This window comes from Homo sapiens, chromosome 18 (genome assembly GCF_000001405.40).
Source record: "Homo sapiens chromosome 18, GRCh38.p14 Primary Assembly".
In the NCBI taxonomy this organism is placed as follows: Eukaryota; Metazoa; Chordata; class Mammalia; order Primates; family Hominidae; genus Homo; species Homo sapiens.
The window spans coordinates 49,806,216-49,827,330 of NC_000018.10; the positions used below are offsets into that span (position 1 = coordinate 49,806,216).

The 21,115-nt window shown below is 41.9% G+C and overlaps 2 protein-coding genes, 1 long non-coding RNA gene and 1 other non-coding gene across 4 annotated transcripts in view, besides 4 other annotated features; 2 read left to right on the top strand and 2 right to left on the bottom strand.

Annotated features, from left to right (window-relative positions):
* The window catches only part of ACAA2 (acetyl-CoA acyltransferase 2), a 31,370-nt gene extending 24,052 nt beyond the window's left edge, over positions 1-7,318 (bottom strand). The window contains exon 1 of the mRNA NM_006111.3: positions 7,254-7,318. Within this exon, the coding sequence (NP_006102.2) occupies positions 7,254-7,269 (16 nt within the window). The 5' untranslated portion in view covers positions 7,270-7,318. The remainder of the gene's footprint in view (positions 1-7,253) is intronic.
* Positions 7,111-7,230: a silencer, noted in NCBI's record as "silent region_9450". NCBI's record gives its function as "represses an Ori minimal core promoter by ATAC-STARR-seq in GM12878 lymphoblastoid cells {active_cell/tissue: GM12878}" and the evidence as "EXISTENCE:reporter gene assay evidence [ECO:0000049][PMID:35858748]".
* Positions 7,111-7,418: a biological region, named in NCBI's record as "Sharpr-MPRA regulatory region 2051".
* Positions 7,124-7,418: a silencer, noted in NCBI's record as "tiled region #2051; K562 Repressive non-DNase unmatched - State 1:Tss". NCBI's record gives its function as "represses a minimal TATA promoter and a strong SV40 promoter by Sharpr-MPRA in K562 cells {active_cell/tissue: K562}" and the evidence as "EXISTENCE:reporter gene assay evidence [ECO:0000049][PMID:27701403]".
* Positions 7,661-7,830: a silencer, noted in NCBI's record as "silent region_9451". NCBI's record gives its function as "represses an Ori minimal core promoter by ATAC-STARR-seq in GM12878 lymphoblastoid cells {active_cell/tissue: GM12878}" and the evidence as "EXISTENCE:reporter gene assay evidence [ECO:0000049][PMID:35858748]".
* On the top strand, positions 7,808-8,228 carry SCARNA17 (small Cajal body-specific RNA 17). Its single transcript, NR_003003.2, has one exon.
* SNHG22 (small nucleolar RNA host gene 22) overlaps positions 7,808-21,115 on the top strand; it is a 37,037-nt gene continuing 23,729 nt past the window's right edge. Inside the window, exon 1 of the long non-coding RNA NR_117096.1 lies at positions 7,808-7,847. This is a non-coding gene — a long non-coding RNA (small nucleolar RNA host gene 22). The remainder of the gene's footprint in view (positions 7,848-21,115) is intronic.
* Positions 16,574-21,115, bottom strand: part of MYO5B (myosin VB) — a 372,359-nt gene continuing 367,817 nt past the window's right edge. Inside the window, exon 40 of the mRNA NM_001080467.3 lies at positions 16,574-20,408. Coding sequence (NP_001073936.1) covers positions 20,256-20,408 — 153 coding nt within the window. The 3' untranslated portion in view covers positions 16,574-20,255. The remainder of the gene's footprint in view (positions 20,409-21,115) is intronic.

The window sequence follows — 21,115 nt, forward strand, 5'->3', positions numbered from 1 at the left end:
GGCTTGAAGAATCAGAGAATAAAATTCATGGTAAGCACAGCCACTAGAAAGTGAATGAGAATCTGGGAAAGAGGAGCACCATAGAGCGAGATTCCAAATTTCACATATAAACTCTGCCCAAATATTTGGCTGACTCCTTAGCCATTCATGTGTAGGTCAGACCACAAGCACCTAAGCCAAGCCTTAAAAAACTGAACTTAGATTTAAGCTGCTGCCCACTACAAGGGGAGACATAGTTTATCACGGGGGTGCATGGGGGTGATTTTGTAGGCAAAGTAACTGTCTACAAAAAATAAATAGCCAACCAATCAATAAGTCAGTTCTGTCTGCAGGATTATAACAGAATCCAGTCTCCACAATGTTCCATCTGCAATATTCATAATATAATTCAAAGTTAATCCACATATGAGGAAACAAAAAATATGACAATCAACAGAGACCAATCCCAAGAAGACCCAGACACTGAAATTAGCAGACAAGGATTTTAAAATAGCATTCTATTACAACTATGCTCAAGGATGTAGAGGAAAATATGCTCCTAATAAAACATAGGACATCTCAGTAAAGAAATACATACTATAAAAATCCAAAATGGAAATTCCAAAACTGGAAAATACCTGAAATAAAAAATTCCCTGGATGGGCTTAACAGCAAAATAGAAATGAAAGGAGAAAAATTCAGCGACTTTGAAGATAGATAAATAGAAATTAACCAATCTGAAGAACAGATGAAAAAAAAAAGATTAAAAAACAAAGCCAGAACCTCAAGGTCTGACAAAGGAGGAAAGGCAATTCACTGGAAAAAGGATCGTCTTTCCAACAAACAGTGCTGGAACAACAAAACATCTATATACCAAACAAAATGAATCCAGGCAAAAATGCGTCAACTTTGATAGTGGGCTGGGCACTGTGGCTCAAGCCTATAATCTCAGCTACTCAAGAGGCTGAGGTGGGAGGACTGTGTCAGGATAGGAGTTTGAAACCAGCCTAGGCAACATAGCGAGATCCCCATCTCTAAAAAATGTAAAAAATTAGTTGGGCATAGTGGCATGTGCCTGTAGTCCCAGCTATTCAGGAGGCTGAGTTCAAGGCTACCGTGGGCTACAATCAAGTCACTGCACTCCAGCCTGGGTGACAGAGTGAGATCTCTTATCTAAAAAAACAGAAACAAAAACAAAGAGATCATAGACTTAAATATAAAATGCAAAACTCTTAGAACATACGAGAAAAATCTACATGGCTTTGGGTTTGGTGATAATTTTTTAGATCTAACACCAAAAGCAGGATCCATGAAGGGAAAACTTAGGTTGGACTTCATTAAAATAGAAAACTTCTGGCTGTGTGCAGTGGCTCATGCCTATAATCCCAGCATTTTGGAAGGCCAAGGTGGGAGGACTGCTTGAGCCCAGGAGTTTGAGACCAGCCTGGGAGACATGATGGGACCCTGTCTCTATAAAAAATTAAGAAATCAGCCAAGCATGGTGGTGTGTGCTTGTGGTCCTAGCCACTTGGGAGGCTGAGGCAAGGGGACTGCTAGAGCCCAGGAGGTCAAGGCTACAGTGGCCGTGTTCACACCACTGTACTCCAGCCTGGGTGACAGAGCGGGACCCTCTAAAAACAAATGAATAAATAACCTCTGCTCTGCAAAAGATGCTGTTAAGAGAATGAAAAGACAAGCGACAGACTAGGAGAAAATATTTATAAAAACACCTAACTGATAAGGGACTGGTATCCAAAACATACAAAGTGTTCTTACAGCTCAGCAATTAAAAAAAAAAAAAAAAACCCATGCAACCCAATTTAAAAATGGGCAAAAGATCTGAACAGATACCTTACTAAAGAAGATATACAGATGGCAAATAAGCATATGAAAAGATGCTCAACATTGTATGTCATTAGGGAATTGCAAATTAAAACAATGAGATACTACTACACAACTATTAGTCTTTTGGATTTTAGAAAGGCTAAAATCCCAAACACTGACAACACCAAACACTGGTGAGGATGTGGAACAACAGAAATTCATTCACTGCTGGTGGGAATGCAAATGGTATGGCCAGCTTGGAAGACACTTTGGCAGTTTCTTATAAAACTAAACACACCTAACCATATGTATGATACAGCAATCAGGTTCCTTGTATTTACCTAAATGATTTGAAAACTTATGTTCAAACAAAAACCTGCAAACAAATGTTTATTCCTAATTGTTAAAACTTGAAGGCAACCACGATGTCCTATCATGGGAACCCGCCCCCCAATATTTCAGTGTAGGTTCTATTTTCCTTAAGTGTCGGCCGGTCTGAGAAACAGAAAGAGTACAAAGAGAGGAATTTTACAGCTGGGCCGCCGGGGGTGACATCACATATCGGTAGGTCCAGGATGCCCACCTGAACCACAAAACCAGCAGGTTTTTATTAAGGATTTCAAAAGGGGAGCAGGTGTACGAACAGGGAGTAGGTCACAAAGATCATATGCTTCAAAGGGCAAAAAGGAGAACAAAGATCACATGCTTCTGAGGCCAATAAAGATCACAAGGCAAAGGACAAAGCAAAGATCACAAGGCAAAGGGCAAAATCAAAAACTCCTGATAAGGGCCTATGTTCAGCTGTGCACATATTGTCTTGATAAACATCTTAAACAACAGAAAACAGTGTTCAATAGCAGAGAACTGGTCTGACCTCAAATTTACCAAGAAGCGTTTTTTCCCCACCCTAATAAGCCTGAGGGTACTGCAGGAGACCAGGGGGTATTTCAGTCCTTATCTCAACCGCATAAGACAGACACTCCCAGAGCGGCCATTTATAGACCTCCCCCCAGGAATACAATTCTTTTCCTAGGGTCTTAACATTCCTTGCTAGGAAAAGAATTTAGTGATATCTCTCCTACTTGCATATCCGTTTATAGGCTCTCTGCAAGAAGAAAAATATGGCTCCTACTGCCCGACCCCGCAGGCAGTAAAGACCTTATGGTTATCTTCCCTTGTTCCCTAAAAATCGCTGTTATTCTGTTCAAGGTGCACTGATTTCATATTGCTCAAACACACGTTTTACAATCAATTTGTACAGTTAACACAATCATCACAGTGGACCTGAGGTGACGTACATCCTCAGCTTACGAAGATAACGGGATTAAGAGATTAAAGTAAGACAGGCGTTAAGAGTATTATTAGGGAAGTGATAAATGTCCATGAAATCTTCACAATTTATGTTCCTCTGCCACAGCTCTAGCCGGTCCCTCCATTCAGGGTCCCTGACTTCCCACAACAATGTCCTTCAACAGGTGAATGGATAAACAAACTGTGGTGCAGCCATACAATGGAATATTATTCAGCAATAAAAAGAAGTGAGCTATCAAGCCATAAAAGGAAGGAATCTTAAATGCATGTCGCTAAGTGAAAGAAGCCAGTCTGGAAAGGCCATATACTGTATGATTCCAACTACATGATATCTGGAAAAGGCAAAGCTATGGAGACAGTAAAAAGATCAGTGCTTGCCAGGGGTTCAGAGACAGGGATAAATAAGTGAATCACAGATGATGTTTAGGGTGGTGAAATTAATCTGCATGACACTATAATACTGACATCGGTCATTTGCACATTTGTCAAAACCCATAGAACTATACAATACAATGAATGAACTTGAATGCAAAATATGAACTTCAGTGAATAATAATATATCAATGTTAGCTCATCAATTGTAACAAATGTACCACACTAATGCAAAATGTTAATAATAGGGGAAACGGACCGGGCAAGGGAGCACATGGTAATACTCCGTACTTTCTGCTCAATTTTTTTGTAAAACCTAAATCTGCTCAAAAACAAAGTTTGTAAATTTTTTCTTTAAAGTCGGATAGTAAAAAAACACGGGCAGAACCTCAAGGACTAACAAGTTACAGTCATAGGAGAGGACAGAGAATGGATTTAAAAAAACATTTGCAGAAATAATAAAGAAGAAATTTCCAAATTTGATAAAAAACATAAATTTGTATATTAAAGCTTGGTAAACCTCAACTCTAATAAACACCACACGTAACACTCCACACCCCGTTCTCCTGCAGCTTGGCACATCATTGTCAAACTTTTGAAATCCAAAGATAACAAAAATATATAAAGCATCCAGAAATAAAAATGACATATTGCACACATGGAAATGACCCCTCACTTCTCAGAAACAATAGAGCCTAATTTCATTTGTCTCTCTACAAAGTTCCTTTTATGAACTTCTCCCCTATGTCTCATATTCTAAGAAAGCATTTGATAGGGCAGTGCTAGTAGTGAAATATGCAATATCTACAAAGGAAAGGGTGTGCATGGGAAAATAAAAACAAAAAAAAACCTCCCCTTTACCTATATTACTTCTTATTTGATGCTCCCAGACTGTAAAGGTTAGCTCAAGTAAGACCTTAACTGAACTAAAACAATTATTTTGAACAGAGAAAATGTTCTCAATCATATATTTTTGGTTTGGGTTTTTTTTGTTTGTTTGTTTGGAGGCAGGGTTTCACTCTGTCACCCAGGCTGAAGTGCGGTAGTGTGATCTTGGCTCACTGCAGCCTCAACCTCCTGGGCTCAAGCAATCCTCCACCACAGCCTCCCGAGTAGCTGGGACTACAGGCGAGTGCCACCATGCTTGGCTAATTTTTGTATTTTTTGTAGAGACTGGGTTTCTCTATTTTAAAAAATAATTTGTTATTATTATTTTAAATCTTCATTTTAACAAATAATCTGGGATGTGCAGATAGACTATAAAGGTTTAAAGTTTTTTTTTTTTAATTTCATAAATTGTATACCATGTCAATTTTCATTTGATGTCAATTTTACGTGGATACTAAAAGGTCTAAAACTTAACAATCTTTAACACCAAACTGAAATCTCATTTGAACACCCTGAAAATTCAGAGGCTAAAAATTTCCCAAAACTGAAAGACAGTGAAGAGACCTATTAACCCAGAGTGTAGTGAGTCCAAGTAGCTCCAAGAAAGGCCCTGGAAAGATGTGCTGAGTTGACAATACAGGAAAAGCACCACTAGGAAAGAAACAGGAGCACTACCTTTCTATCACATTGTTAGGTAAATATTCACTTAGAGCAACTTCAGGCAGCAACGAGGGCAAATTAAGGAAAGCTGCGGTGGCATCCAGTTGTTTCAAGATTAAGGTAATTTAGCAGCCCTGTCTACTTGCCTTGAAAAAATACACAAACATTCCCAACAAAGCTAGGAGCAGTAGGAGAGCTATGATCTGTCGAGCGAAAACCTCCTGCCAAGTACTGGGATGGGTGCTAATAAAAACCTAGGAGCCGGTTCTTCTTGTTGACTGAAATCTGACAAATTAATGTTAATCCTTAACAAAATTTAACTCAAATGTGTCCTTTTCCCTATAATCAGTCACATGCTCTTCTTTCTTCCCACCCATCCTGCAAACACTTGGTATGCTGCTTGAGAGAAGTTTATCTTTAATGATTCTAGCTGGCCTGTAACATCACTATTTCAAGCTCAAAGCTTGGGTTCTAGTCACAGCCACTAACTACCTGTGTTATTATACACAACCACTTTACCTCTCTCGACATGAGTGTCCTCCTAATTGCTACAATAAGGAAATGGAAAAAAATACGATCACTAGCTCTAACACTACAGTAAATTGTACCAGAAATTTATAAACTTTATACTTCCTTAATACAGGTGTCAATGTGCATTTTTTTCCTTTTTGGGTTTATAGTATTTGTGAAATTTTCAAACAGGTCTGTATTATAAGAAAGGGTAAGAACCACTGATAAAATATTAAAATGATATCAGTAAAAATATTATTTCCTTTTTTAGAAGATAGCTCATGACAATGCACCTTTTAAATGAAGTGTAAATGCCTCGTCTAAAAAAAATTCACCACGCTGCTTTATGAAGTAAATGTAGTAAATTCAGTCAGGAAGGGCACTGGCAAATGAAATCCACGTTGCAGGAAACTGTAAACACTGCATTTGGTCCCAGAATACGGATTTTTCCCTTGATTTGTTCCCATGCCACTTTGGTTCTTCTCACTTTCAGATCCCCCTAACCAATGCTTAGCTGGCATCTCCACTTGGCTGCTTCACAGGCACCAAAAAGTTTTCTGCCTAAAACTGAATTCTCAATCCTTCTTTCCACATCTATTCCTTTCCCAATTTTCCTCACTCTGTAAAGTGGCATCATCATGAACACGGTTCATCAAACCAGACACTTTTCATCATTCTCGACATTTCCTTCTTATATTTACTCCACCACATCCAATCCACTTTCTATCAAATCCACCTCCAAATCTATCTCAACTCATCCCTCCCCTTTTCTCCCCAATTACACTGCCCCACACGAGTCAAAGCCATCATTTGCTGCTCCCTGGACCTCTACAATAGATCCTTAAATGGTCTCTTCGCCATTACACAGACCGCCCCAAATTCGGACAGAGTGGAAATCAGATCCTGTCATTACCCCGCTTTAAATCCCTGTATTGCCTTCCACTGAATTTGGAACAAAACCCCACCTTCTTACAGAGCCCACAGGGCCCTGGAGCACCAAAATGCTTGGTTCTTAGATCCTGCCAAGCTTTTTCCTGTCTCAGGGCCTCGATATGTATTCCACCTCAATGTTCTTCGACTCGTACATCCTTAAAGTAAGATTCCATTGACTGTGCCCACTTGTTTTGAAAAGGGAGTTTATTACACAGTTGTTTTAAACAAGTTCATAACCCTAGAACTTAGGTATAGAGTGACCGCTCTAATCTAAAGCAACAGAAGGGAAATGGGAGCAGGGCAGGTCTTCCAGCAGAACACCAGCTACCATTTCTGCAGGCCTCTCCATCGATTCACCCGGGGAGCCCTGACCACCGAGGCCGAGCGGCGGGCTCCTGTGCGCAGCTGCCCCGCAGCAGGCGCCCGCGGCCTATGGCGCCGCCCCATTTTTTCTAATACTTGGACTCGAACTAGTGGGGTCACTGTTAGGCGAAGAAAGGAATGACCTCCAAGGTCACATGCAAGCAAACTTTGGTCTCAACTAAACAGGAAATTGCACCGAAATCGCTGTCGCTAGCGCCTTACAAGTAAGGGTTTTCTCCTTAACCCAAACAAGCCTTTCGGGCTGGGTTTTTATCACGTCCGCTCCAAAACCGAGGAGGTTGAGTGAACTTCACCCCACGACCCCGACTCTCCGCGGCGGCCGGAAGCGGAGGCCTGGCCTGGGGAGGGCAGGACCCCGAGGGGCGAGGAGAGGAGGAGGGGGCTGCGCTCACCTCGGAGCAGAGCCATGGCGGCTGCTGGGTCGTCGGCGGCGCGGGTCTGTGGTGTGGGGGACGCTGAGCGGCCGCTCGCAATCACCCAGATTTCAAGAGCGTGGGTGGCGCCCCGAGAGCCACGCCCCTGCCCTTTCACCTACTTCCTGGGGCTCCTTGGCGGGGTCCCAGCGTAAGATGGTCCTACCCCACGCGTAGCGCTGCCCGCCTCACCCCAGCCCGAGGGAGCCCAGGGGACGGGGCTCGGATAGACCACAACGCGCCTTGAGAGCGGACTCTTTCCTCACATCCTCATTTTTAGATTTTCTCCGTTTCCAAACCGAGAGAATTTGGTTTGACACCTCTCACCCATCATATCCTAGCCCCGACAGGCGATGACTCTTCCCCTTTGTCTCCGCCAACACCCTAAACACTGGGCAGGAGCCAAGGGCTGAGGAACTTGGCGCGCGGGCGGCCGCGGCCGCCAGCTGGGGGCGGGACCGAACGTCCTGTGGGCGGGGCGCGGCGGCGGCGGCGGGATTGGCTGGGGCGGGCGGGTGCGCAGTCCGCTGGGCAGAGGCTTGGGCCGCCGAGCTGGACCCGGACCGGTTTTGGGTACTGTACTGGGGGCAGGGCAGAGAGGTGGGCGGCAGTTGGGGTGCGGTGATTGTAGTAGGCTAGGGCGCTTTCGGGTCCCCATTGCAGCCCCCGGATGAGCCCGCAGTATTTTCCTTATATGATCAGGTCCCATTGCGGGCGGCGCCGCTTGCCCGGAGCCTGAGAGGATTATGAAAACGTGGCGAGCGAAATGGGGCCAGGGGACCTGGAGCAGGGGCGTGAGGAGAGTAGGCAGCGGGTGAGGCTGGACGGGAGGGAGGTCTAGGGAGGCCTCTGCCGCGGGCACTGTGAGTCCTGGCCGATGATGACGAGACCACTGCGCAATCTGAGTTCTGGGAACCAGGTGATGGAGTATGTTCTGAGAACAGACTGAGGCCGGGCAAGCAGGAGGCGGCCGCGGCAGGGGAGAGGCGGAGAGCCCCTCGATACCAGGGCTCGGAGGGCCGGGCTGCCTAGCGAGGGCTTCTTTTGAGTGCGTAGGGGTGGTGGGTGGCATGGACGGTTTCTCTGAGTCGTCAGCGAATGCCCCCCCTAGAATCCTGCTTTTCAAACACTTTGGTGACACTCTTGCAATGTTGGGGTGTTTTTAAATCCAAATTTGTATTATGAAAACTTACAAACTTACAGAAAAGTGGGAAGACTTGTACAGTGGACACATATCGACCCAATTGTTAACATTTTGCTATATTGCTATCCACCTGTTCTTCCATCAAACCATCTTATCTTTTTAATGCAGACCTTAGTACTCTACACCCATGAACACATCAGCACACATTATTCATTTACAGTTCTTTTTAAGGCAAAATATCCACGCAATCAAATGTACAAATCTTAGACAAGCTTCACAAATGCTCATGTATAGGCCGGGCGCCGTGGCTCACGCCTGTAATCCCAGCACTTTGGGAGGCCGAGGTGGGCGGATCACGAGGTCAGGAGATCGAGACCATCCTGGCTAACACGGTGAAACCTCATCTCTACTAAAAATACAAAAAAATTAGCTGGGCGTGGTGGCGGGCGCCTGTAGTCCCAGCTGCTGGGGAGGCTGAGGCAGGAGAATGGTGTGAACCTGGGAGGCGGAGCTTGCAGTGAGCCGAGATCGTGCCACTGCACTCCAGCCTGGGTGACAGAGCAAGACTCCGTCTCAAAAAAAAAAAAAAAAAAAATGCTCATGTATAGAGTGTTCATTTTTGTACACAGTTTTCTATTCAGTTTGCCTCTACATATTTAAGAAAGGTTAAGTATCACAACTTCCCACTGCAGATCACCATCAGTAGGTCTTTATAGATGTACTGTGTTTTCTCTAATTGGAAATGTCACTAATGAGTGGATTCTAACACCATTCAGTGAAAGGTTTACATATATTAAAACACGTAAATATATGAGAGAATATTGACATAGTCTCCAAGTCTCATGAAGAGGAAAGGGTACCTTTACAATGGATAAATCTTGCGGGTATTACTTCACCAAATTATGAAGTAATGGTGTCCCATCACCAATAAAGGGACAGACTGACGTCATGCGCTCCCCTTGCTACAGCGACAACACAATCTCACTTGCGTAGAATTTCTGCTGAAAACATCTGGCCTGAATCTAATTATAAGGAAACAATGAGACAAATCCACATGGAGGTACATTCCACAGAACAACTGACCTGAACTCTTTAAAAACATCAGTGTGGTGAAAAACAAAAAATGGCTAAAATAGGAATAGTATCACATTAAAGGAGACTAGATATGTGACACATATTGTATGAGATCCTTAATTAAAACCTGGGTTAAAAAAATACTCTAAAAGACAGTATTGGGACAACTGGAGAAACATATAAATTATAGATGACATGGTAATATTGACATTAAGTTTCCTGATCATGATAATTATATTGTAGTTATGTAGAAGATTGTCCTTTGTTCTAAGGAAATACATACTGAAATATATGGGGGTGAAGAATCATGAGCTTGCAGATGACTGGAAAAAATGCATTTATATATATACAGTTATGTGTTGCTTAACCACGAGAATCCATCCTGAACGATGTGCTATTAGGCGATTTCGTCATTGTGTGAACATCATAGATTTCACTTACACAAACCTCAATGGTAGAGCCTACTACACACCTAGGCTATATGGTACAGCCTATTGCTCCTAGGCTACAAACCTGTATAGCATTTTACTCTACTGAACACTGTAGGCAGTTGTAGCAAGTAGTAAGCATTTGTGCATCTAAACATAGGAAAGATAGTGCATGACTATACACTGGCAGAGAAAGATAAAGCAAATATGGCCAAATATTACCAACTGGGGAATCCAAATGAAGAATATACAGTTGTTCATTATTCTTTTTCTTTTTTTTTTTTTTGAGACAGTCTTGCTTTGTTGCCCAGGCTGGAGTGCAGTGGCATGATCTCCACTTACTGCAACCTCCACCTCCCAGGTTCAAGTGATTTTCCTGCCTCAGCCTCCCGATTATCTGGGATTACAGGTGCTTGCCATCCTGCCCGGCTAATTTTTGTATTTTTAGTAGAGACAGGTTTCGCCATGTTGGCCAGGCTGGTCTCAAACTCCTGACCTCAGGTGATCTGCCCACCTCGGCCTCGCAAAGTGCTGGCATTAGAGGCGTGAGCCACTGCACCTGGCCCATTATTCTTTTTCTAAGAGGGGAGTCTTGCTTGCTATGTTGCCAGGGCTGGCCTCAAACTCCTGGGCTTAAGGGATCCTCCTGTCCCAGCCTCCTGAGTAGCTTGGGACTACAGGCGTGTACCACATTCTTCCATTTTTGCAACTTTTCTGTAGGTTTTAACTCTTTCAAAATAGAAGTTGGGATAAAAAATGTCCTTCACGTAAGCTACAAAATTGCTTGAAACAAGTTATTTTTGAAAATATTTAGTCCTTTTCAGGTTTACATCATGTTTAAGCAGTTATGTATTCTTGTAATTTTAATATGTATATTAAAATTGTGATAATTTTTGTCTAGATGTGGAGTCTTTCATGAGATGTAAAGTTATTGTTCTACTTTTAGACATTTAACTCTCAGTATTTTTATAAATGCAATATTATCATTTCCTTACTTATTTTCCTATGCTTAAACACAGTTTCTCCTGCTTTCCTATAACACTAAAAATTGACGGTGGCTTAAGCAGCAGTGGCTTTAGAAGTTTCAGTAATGGAAACTGGGGAAAGCTGACGAAGTCAGTAGGGCCTAGGACAACTTTTAAAAATGAGTATATGAATCTGAATGAGTGAGATAAGTGAATTTGCTGATCTTGAGTAGTTTGGAACGTTATGTGTGTGCTCACTGTTAATCTAATTGCTTTGGAAATACTTCAATTTTTGTTAATTAGAACGCAAATGTTGAATGTGGTTTTATTCTTAAAACAAATACTAACTCTTCAGAAAGTTCAAGTTGCCAAGCAAGAACATCAGATGAATGAAATTGTTCGCAGTGGCAAATCCGTACTGGCCTGCAGCAACTCACTTCTTGCCTCCTCAAAGGAATGAAGCATAAGGCAGAGTGAGAGACCGAGGCAAGTTTTTGAGCAGGAGTGAGAGTTTATTAAGAAGTATTAGAGCAGGAATAAAAGTAAGTAAAGTACACTTGGAAGAGGGCCAAGTGGGCAACTTGAGAGATTCAGCTGTGCCACCTGACCCTTGATTTGGGGATTGATACATTGGTACGGTTCTAGGCCTTGCATTACTTCTTCCGATTTTTCCCTTGGGGTGGGCTGTCGGCATGCTCAGTGGCCTGCCGGCACTTGGGAGGGGTGGCATGTGCAGTGTGTTTACTGAAGTTGTGCACATACTCACTAGAGACATTCCTCCCTTACCAGTCTTGTTCCTAGAGGAAGCTCATATACCAGTTAAACTCTACCATTTTGCCTCTTAGTGAGCATGTTTGAGCCCACTCTCCCAAAATCTTATCCACAAGCTGCTGATCACCAGATTCTAGTATTTTCCATCTATTGGGAGAATGCCTTTCCCTGACGCCAGTTGAGACGAATGATTATTTTAGATAGTTTAACAACTTGCCTGACCATCACCTGATAGTCGCTTGACATTCCTGGGCGGGGTGGGGGAGGTTTTCTCCTGCCCTGCCCAAGTCTGCCTAGCTACCTATTCTAAGGGAATGTAGACAGGAAGTAATAAAGACACCAATACGCCAAACTCCCTCATGTTAAGTTTACCCTAAGTCTTGATGTGTTCCCAGTAACCCTAAGGCACTGTCTCAAACTTAAGATAGATATTTGTTTTTCTTTTTTCTCTACTTGTCTGAAAGTTATTTGCAGCTTCTATATCTTTGGCTCAACTTTCATTTAGTAGCATAACCTTAGGCAAATCTTCCTTGGATCTAAGTTTACTCTGCAAAATACTAATGTTGGTAGAAGGAGACAATGCTGTTGTTGCCTTCCAGCCAGAAACCTCCAGAAACACACCTATAGTTGAACAAGTTGGGTTTAATGTTCTTTGGAAGAAGGGAGATTGCACATCATGGGTGTGCCTTTGGGAACTGCAGCACATCTCAGTAAAAGGGTGGTAGGATTTGGGGTTTGGTTAGGTGATTTGGGGAGGATCCAAGGAAGTACGGGTTCACTCTGGATTGGGTACTGTCAGGAAGTAGGGACAAGTCTTTGGGTATCAGTACTATTCAGGGTTCTCCAGAGGGACAGAACTAATAGAACATATGTATATATGGAAGGGAGTTTAAGTCCAGGCCTGGTGGCTCACACCTGTAATCCCAGCACTTTGTGAGGCCGAGGCGGGTGGATCACGAGGTCAAGAGATCGAGACCAGCCTGGCCAACATGGTGAAACCCCGTCTCTTCTAAAAATACAAAAATTAGCTGGGCGTGGTGGCGTGCATCTGTAGTCCCAGCTACTTGGGAGGCTGAGGCAGGAGAATCACTTGAACCCAGGAGGCGGAGGTTGCAGTGAGCCAAGATGGTGCCACTGCACTCTAGCCTGGTGACAGAGCGAGACTCTGTGACCCCGTCTCAAAAAAAAAAAAAAAAAAAAGCAAAAGAAAGAAAGGAAGGGAGGGAGGTGAGGGAGGGAGGGAGTTTATTAAGGAGAATTGACTCACAGGATCACAAGGTGAAGTCGCACAATAGGCCATCAGCAGGCTCAGCCAGGAATGGCTCAGTCTGGGTCCAAAAGCCTCAAAAGTAGGGAAGCCAACAGTGTAGTCTTCAGTCTGTGGCCAAAGGGCGCCTGAGAGCTCCTGGCAAGCCATTGGTGTAAGTCCAAGGGTCCAAAGGCTGAAGAACCTGGAGTCTGATGTCCAAGGGCAGGAGGAATGGAAGGAAGCATCCAGCACAGGAGAAAGATGAAAGCCAGAAGACTCAGCAAGCCAGCTTATCCCACCTTCTTCCACCCACTTTGTTCTAGCTGCGCTGGCAGCCAATTGCATGGTGCCCACCCACACTGAGGGTGGCTCTTCCTCTCCCAGGCCACCGACTCAAATGTTAATTTCCTCTGGCAACAACCTCACAGACCTACTCAGAAACAATACTTTACCAGCTATCTAGGCATCCTTCAATCAAGTTGACAACTAATATTAACCGTCACAGTATCATCTTATCCTGAAGGAGGGCTGATTAGAGCTAGGCTCAAGCTGCACCTGGGAAAGCAGCTACAGTCCCTCATATTACCTGGGACAGGGCATATTTGGTGTTACATGGTTTACACAGTGATCTTGTTTTTGTGCCTGGGCAAAATTACAGTCTTGTTTCATATCACTTTAGTGTAGTCAGAGTGGCCACATCTGATATTGGTGTTTTATAAGGTTGTTCATAGCAAAAGAACAACACGGCCCAGCACAGAGGACCAGGCCAGCTTCTAGCATGACCCAGGCCTAGCTCTGAGTTTCAAATCAGTTCCTGGAAGTCAGTCTGCTTTTCTCTTTCTGAACTGTTATTAAGTGTATCTTGTATGAAATTTGCTTCTTTTCAAATGTGGTTTTCCTGTTGAGGCTTTGAAGCTAGGACTAAACCTCTTTGAGAATGAGCTGAAGGCTTTCCTCAAGTGAGGGTATTCTTTGGTCAGCCACTCAAAAAGTGAATCCATCTTTAGATTGGAAGGTGGTTTCAAAAGTCAACTTTTCACTGCATAGTATACAGCAGGTCCCTACATAACATTGTTTCATTCATTGTCATTTTGACATAATGTTGGTGAGAAAAAAAGAATTGCTTCCTGGCCAGGGCCACTGTGTGTGTGGAGTTTGCAGGTTCTCCCTGTTACAGTGGGTACCTAGTCAGGCATGAGCAGGGCAGGAGAGAGCTCCCCCCTCCACACACACACCAGGAGCATCTTGTGACCATCCAGTGATGGTCAAGGCAGTTGTTAACTGTCTTTCTAAAGTAGTCATTGGTCGCAGCCAGCATCAGAGAAAGGCAGTCTCCCGATAGAAAACACATGAAACTGGTGATCAGCCACTTCCTGACAAGATCTCAGGAGTTGAGAGAAGTAACACAAGACCGCAGAAGTAGGCCAACATATAAAACCCCAAGTCAAGAGGTTAAGCCACGCTCTTGACTCTTTCAAGTCACCCACTTGGCCCTCTTCCAAGTGTACTTTCCTGCCTTTCCACTCCTATTCTAAAACTTGCCTTGGTCTCTCCTTCTGCTGTACGGCCCTCAAATTCTTTCTTCTGAGGTGGCAAGAATTGAGGCTGCAGCCTCATTCATACAGACATGGATACGTTCCACTGGTGAGATCCCCATGACTGTTTTCTTTGGATTCTCATTTCCTCCCATGTCCTAAAGCTGTGTACATGAGGTGAATGGATGTGTCTAAGTGATCCCAGTCTGAGTGTGGGTTTGTGAGCACACCCAGTGACAGGATGGTTTCCTGTCCAGGCCTGGTGCCTCCCTGGCACCCTGAGCTGCCAGGAGAGGTGGGCCCTCAGTGACTCTTAAATGGAATAAGTGGGCAACTTTCTCATTTGTTTTTATTAATCTTTCTCAAATGTATATATAGCTTTCATTTCAGTGTTTAATTCTAGAAGTGTTTTGGTCTTTATTTAGAAGTTTGTTGATGTTTTGGCCGGGCATGGTGGCTCATACCTCTAATCCCAGCACTTTGGGAGGCCGAGGCAGGCAGATCACTGGGGGCTAGGAGTTTGAGACCAGCCGGGACAGCATAGTGAAACCCCATCTCTATAAAAATACAAAAAAATTAGCCAGGCATGGTGGCGGACGCCTGTAATCCCAGTTACTCGGGAGGCTGAGGAGGAAGAATCACTTAAACCCAGGAGGCAGAGGTTGCAGTGAGCTGAGATCTTGCCATTGCCCTCCAGCCTGAGCAACAGAGCAAGACTCCATCTCAAAAAAAAAAAAATTTGGTGATGTTTGTATGACCATAAATATGCCGAAGGAACTGTTTATATCAACTAGCTTATGTTAAAATTGGTGTCATTACGTCATTTTGTTTATACTCGTGGTTTCCTAGAACTTATCAGTGACGTTGAGGACTAATTATACTGTGACCATTTTTCTGGATCATGAAATATTTCAATAGTGGTCTCTAATGATGGGTGCTTAAGGGCACCATCCCTGGGGATGTCTTCTTGTATATTTTTAGGTGGGTCAGGTTAACAATGGGTGTGGAAGGGCACCATCTCTGGAGGTGTCTTATTCCATAAATTTGGGTGTAAATTTTTTTAAAGATTTCCAGGTGATTTTGATGTGTACTCCCAGTTAAGAAAAAATGTATCAGTATTTCCATATAGATGCTCAGTTTCTGGGCTATTCTGTTCCACTGGTCAATTTTTCCACATCCAGGGCCGGGCGCGGTGGCTCACGCCTATAATCCCAGCACTTTGGGAGGCCGAGGCGGGTGGATTACCTGAGGTCGGGAGTTTGAGACCAGCCTGACAGACATGGAGAAACCTTGTCTCTACTAAAAATACAAAATTAGCTGGGCATGGTGGCACATACCTATAATCCCAGCTACTAGGGAGGCTGAGGCAGGAGAATTGCTTGAACCTGGGAGGCGGAGGTTGCGGTGAGCTGAGATTGTGCCATTGCACTCCAGCCTGGGCAACAAAAGCGAAACTCTGTTTCAAAAAAAAAAAAAAAATTTCCATGTCTGTCATCCTCACACATCTTAATTACTGAAATTTTGTAAGTCTCAATGCCTGCTAAGGAAAGCTTCCCACTTTCTCAAGGAGGGTCTTCCTTATTCATGGGCCTTTGCTCTTCCATATAAATCTTATAATGAGCTTGTCAGTTTTCACATAGAAACAGTTGAAATTTTGATTTTTAATCTATAGATCAACTTGGGGACAACTGACAAACTTTTAGTGGTATGGAGTCTTCGAATTCTTGTACCTAATTATTTCTCCATTTTAATGTTGTCATTGTTTTTCACTTATATTTTACAAATTCCTCCATACAGATCTTATGACTATTTCCCCACTGATTTTTCATGCCATCTCTACCGTATGCTATGTTATACATAGGATTGGGCCTATCCTTGCACTCCCTATTCTGTTTCGTTGATCTACTTGTCTTTGCCTACACCAAAACTGCCTTTAATTCCATAGCTTTAAAGTAATTGCTCAATAAGCCTTGTTATCTGAGAGTTTCTCCCTGCCCCCAACTTTTGGACTGTAAGATGCTGACCTCTGGTTTAAATGATCTTGACACGTATTAGAATATAGGCCCCATAATGAAGCTTCTCAAGAGAGCATTACAAAGAAACTTTGTCAACCTGTAGCTGCAGAGTTTTAAATTTCATTTAGATTTGGCACACCTCTTTATTCAAAAGTATTTATTTCCACAAATTTTTATCCACAGCTAAATATTACAGTGACTATTACAAGCATTTTTCTATAAACAAAGGTGTAGTTTACAGATTTGTGCAAAGTGGGAAAATATTTTCATCAGTAGTCTTTCTTCCATGGTGTTGGATTCACCCCTGAATATGATCTGAACTCTTTCAGAGAGGCAGTCCTTCATCTAAATGTCAGTTGGTGGCAAAATGTTATATTCAAATCTGGATTATTCTGATACAGTGTCACTTTAGAAAGTAGCTTAGTTTCATTTCTGATTGATCCCCTTTGTTAGAATTAGAAATTTTTTGAAAAACAATCTTTTGTATCTAATGACCTTTATAATAAAAAAAACCCTGTCCTGTGTTTCTCATTGGCATTAACCTCTGTCTACACCCTCTAATTCTCTAATTATGGCACCAGTGGGTATAAAAAGTGAATTATGGTTATTTGGCTCATGCAGCAAATTAATTGGAGAAACTGACCACAAATATTCTGTGAAGAACTACAAGGTCTTGCCCCATGCTGTCCCATTTTAGTGACCATTTAGTTATGCAGGCATTATACAAATGCCTCAATTTAGGACACCCTTGCTGTCTTAGTAGGTCAAGTGTATGAAAATTTACTTTATGCAGAAGAAATGAATTCTAATTTATTGGTTACTGGAATCTTAATGTATGAAAGCTCTAAGTAAATATTTGATGAATTGATGGTAGCAGTGTTGATTTTTAACTGTTCCAAGCTCCTAGTTTTGTTTTGTTTTTACAAAAGCCTTAAAATTTAGTACTAGGGAAATCAAAGGAAGCAACTCCCACTGACATGCTTCATGGAAAGGGGAAAAACATCTACCTTTGGGTCTAATCTGCCTCCCAGGTGAGCCTACAGGTACTGGAACTCTAACTGCAACTATGAGGGCACAGGGAAAATGCATGTATGTAATATGCTTGTCAGCTTCAGCAACAACTCATGTGTACATTCACATTTACTATAAGTAAACAGGTCCCGTATAATACTTAAAACACAAGTTTTGATCTATAAATATTTGATTCTTAATATTTAAAATGCTTCTAATGTTTTAAAAGACAAAACTCCCCCATGATATCACCTTGAACATTAAAATTATTCCCACAGCAACACTTATTTCAGAGAAACAACTGATGTCAGTTATCTTAGTAACCGCTAAAGGCACCTGGTGAAAAAAATGTCAACTAAATTTTAAATATTAAAAAATTAAAGAGACATCTAATGCAGAGTTCAAACCTGAATTGTTAAAGAGTCATTACTGATTTCATGACACTGATAAATGTTTGAATTGAAATGATTTTTTAAAATGCAGAGAAAATGCTAACAAAAGATTATATAGTTCCCCTAAAGATGCTTCTTCTAGCCTCCAAGTATTAAATAAGACAGATCTAAATATTAACTACATATAAAGTATATATTTGTTAGTCATCTGTAAGTTTTAAGTACAATTCCAGGATATACCTTTATCTTTTGGAAGAGAAGAACTAAATCTGCCATTTCTTAGGCTAAATGGACTATTCATAAGGTCCTTCCCTCCCCATTTATTCTAATTGCCAAGCTTTTATTCAGTAAGCTCTTGGCACCTAGTGATTAACCAGTGACAGCAGAGAGTAGTGACCAAGAGAGATGGAGAGAATGATGGTATAAGACAGTGTATAAGGATAGTAAGCCACTGTGTTTGTGGAACCACTGCATGTCAAAACTCCTTAACACTCTAACAAGGCATTTTTGGTCTTTTAAGGATGGTCCTTACATAAGAGACTCACTTTCAAACTAAAGTGCATTAAAAAACAAATTATCCTTCACAAACAACTTTAAAGAGGTAGCCACAAACCCAGTTGTTTTAGATTGGCCTTCTAAATGAAGTCAGCACATGGATCCATGGGTAAGTGTCATGGACGTCAGTGATTATGTAACTGTAACTGAAAGAAAAAGGCACAGCTCTGCCGATGCCCAAGAGAAGCCGGCATGTTTAATGTGGATGTAGAGGGGATAATGCCCATGACAACTGATTGGAACACAATGTCAGCAGCCTTAACCCAGGCTAAGACTGGCCTAAGCCCCAGGAGATGCAGAGAACAACTGAGGAAGCTGTGCTCTAAGGGCACAGTGCAGAAGGTAGCGTGGAGTGTGCTGTGTTTCCAAGAGCCTTTTAAGTTGGGTGGTTGAGTAAAAGAGGGTGAAGGCAGGCTGTTCTACTTCCAATTCATGGATAAATCTTATTTTCTCAATGTAATACAGAGGCTGTTCTTCCATGATTTGCAAATACCATTTTTTTCTTATGGGAACAGCATACTGCTATCAAGAAATACAGAAAAGACAGTAAAAAAAAGTGTGGAAAGAATATGGGTTTCCAATTGAATGCTTGCTTTTGAAGAAACCAAAAACAAGTTAAAAAAAATTCTAAGAGCAGCAAACATCTAAGCCTGTTATATTACTGAATTACTTTTTTAAAATCCTTATTTTGTGGGAGAGATATTTACAATTTTTTGTGTGCTAAATTTGAAAAACGTTGAAAATAACCTGAAAAGGGAAAGTTGACCTAAGCCATTTTATTCTCTTAAAAAAAAAAAACCCAAACTTTTGTATAATATCCCTGAACTGATTATTTTTGAAGGTTTTTCAGATGATCTGATGTGCGAACTTTAGTTTGTTTTACTATTTGGTTTCTGGAACAGTAGAGCATTATGTGATGCTCTTACTGGAAGCTTAATGGTATTAAGAGATTAAAAGCTTTCATATTGACTTGTTTGGTTTTTACATCTATAAATAAAACAAGTTTGTTATCCGTTTCTAATATTTAGCTTATATACATTTTTGTGAAAGTTTTGTGGGACTTGGAAAGTGTATGGACTAGCATCAGAAACAAAATATTTTTCCATCTTTCTCACTTGGAGTTTGGGATAGCAGCATTTTAATAATCTCTTCCATTAAATCAAGATAACACAAAAGCGTTTGAGCACACTGAGGACTGGCACTTCTAATTTTGCTTCAGAAACCAGTACTCAAAATGTCTGGTCTGGAGGTCAGTTACACCACTGTCTGTGTATAATCAGCCATTAAAAAATATTTTGGGAATATTTCTCAGAAGTCTCATCCCCATATTTTTGTTCTTAAAACATCTCACCACAAACTCAACCACACCTATGGTTTGCAAACTTTGGGAAATGTCAGTATATGCCATTATCATGGTTATTAGTACCATTATTTGTTAAAGCCCTTTGAAGGCAATTTATGTGACTTATATATATTTGGTATTTTAATTTGGACATTCTCTAGTTCTATGCAAAGATCAAAACTAGGCAGCTTCGTTTTATAGAATTGACACCTTTTATATGTCTATGGGGACTGCTTGGTGTCTATAAATTATGTATATGTGTTGGACTGAAATCAAACTTAAAATCTTCCATATTTCAAGTGTTTTTATTCTGAGCAGTAGGTACAAAAAATAATGACATAGTTGTGTCTAATTCTGTATAGTTCAGCACCCTCCACAGGCTGTCAATCTCTGATTTGATCTACTTTTACCAGATTTAACAGATCCTTGAATTTACTTTACTGTATATACTTCCTTCTTGCTCACATTGGGAATCAAACTAATGCTGGAAACATGCATCTTCAGACTTCATTGAGGAATTCCAGATTGAGACACGCTGGGATGTGGATTGAGTCCATGGTTAGAGAAGATGGATTAAATGGAAACAAAACAGGAAACATGTGCTTGGCATCTAATAGCAGTTGCTGAGGGTCATTCCGCTCTTGTAGTTGTGCCTATGGGGAAGAATAAGACCATGTAAAGTTTGAGTACCCCTAAAAATAGCCAGTTTAAGTGAATTCACAAAAGTGAGTTGGCATATATCATGGAAAGATTTCTACGACAATTAGGTAGAACTTCAGGACTAGGAGAATGTGATCTCCTCACCCTTGAGGTATTTAGTGGGGAGAGAAGCCCTGACTTAGGCTTCTTGGAGATCAGAGGGCTGTAAGCACTCTCCCAATTCTAGCATTCTTTAAAAAATTGTCTAAGGGAGAATATAAAATACATCTCAGGTGCAAACCATATGGAGAGGCACTATAGTGAAGTGGCCAAGGGCATGGGTTTTTTTTTTTAGGTAGACAGCTGAGCTCTAATCCTGGCACCACCCTGGGCAAATTCCTGAATTTTTTATGCCTCAGTTTCTTTACCTGTAGAATGGGAGAAGAGTACATCACATAAAATGGCAGAGTAGGAAGCCCTAGGGATTGGTCCCTCCACTGAAGCTACCTTGAAGTAGAAACAGTGATTGTCAACTATCTCATAACTCTGGAACTTGATTGGACATTTATAACAATCGGGAGACTGATTGGTAAAGGGAGAGGCTGCTGATCTTTGCTAAGGGAACTGTGTGTGTGACCCAGCTACTATCCCCCTCTCTTCAGCTCCCCTGAAGCTATGGGGATAGCAGCTCACATTCCTGGAGTAGCTAGCTGGCCAGGGT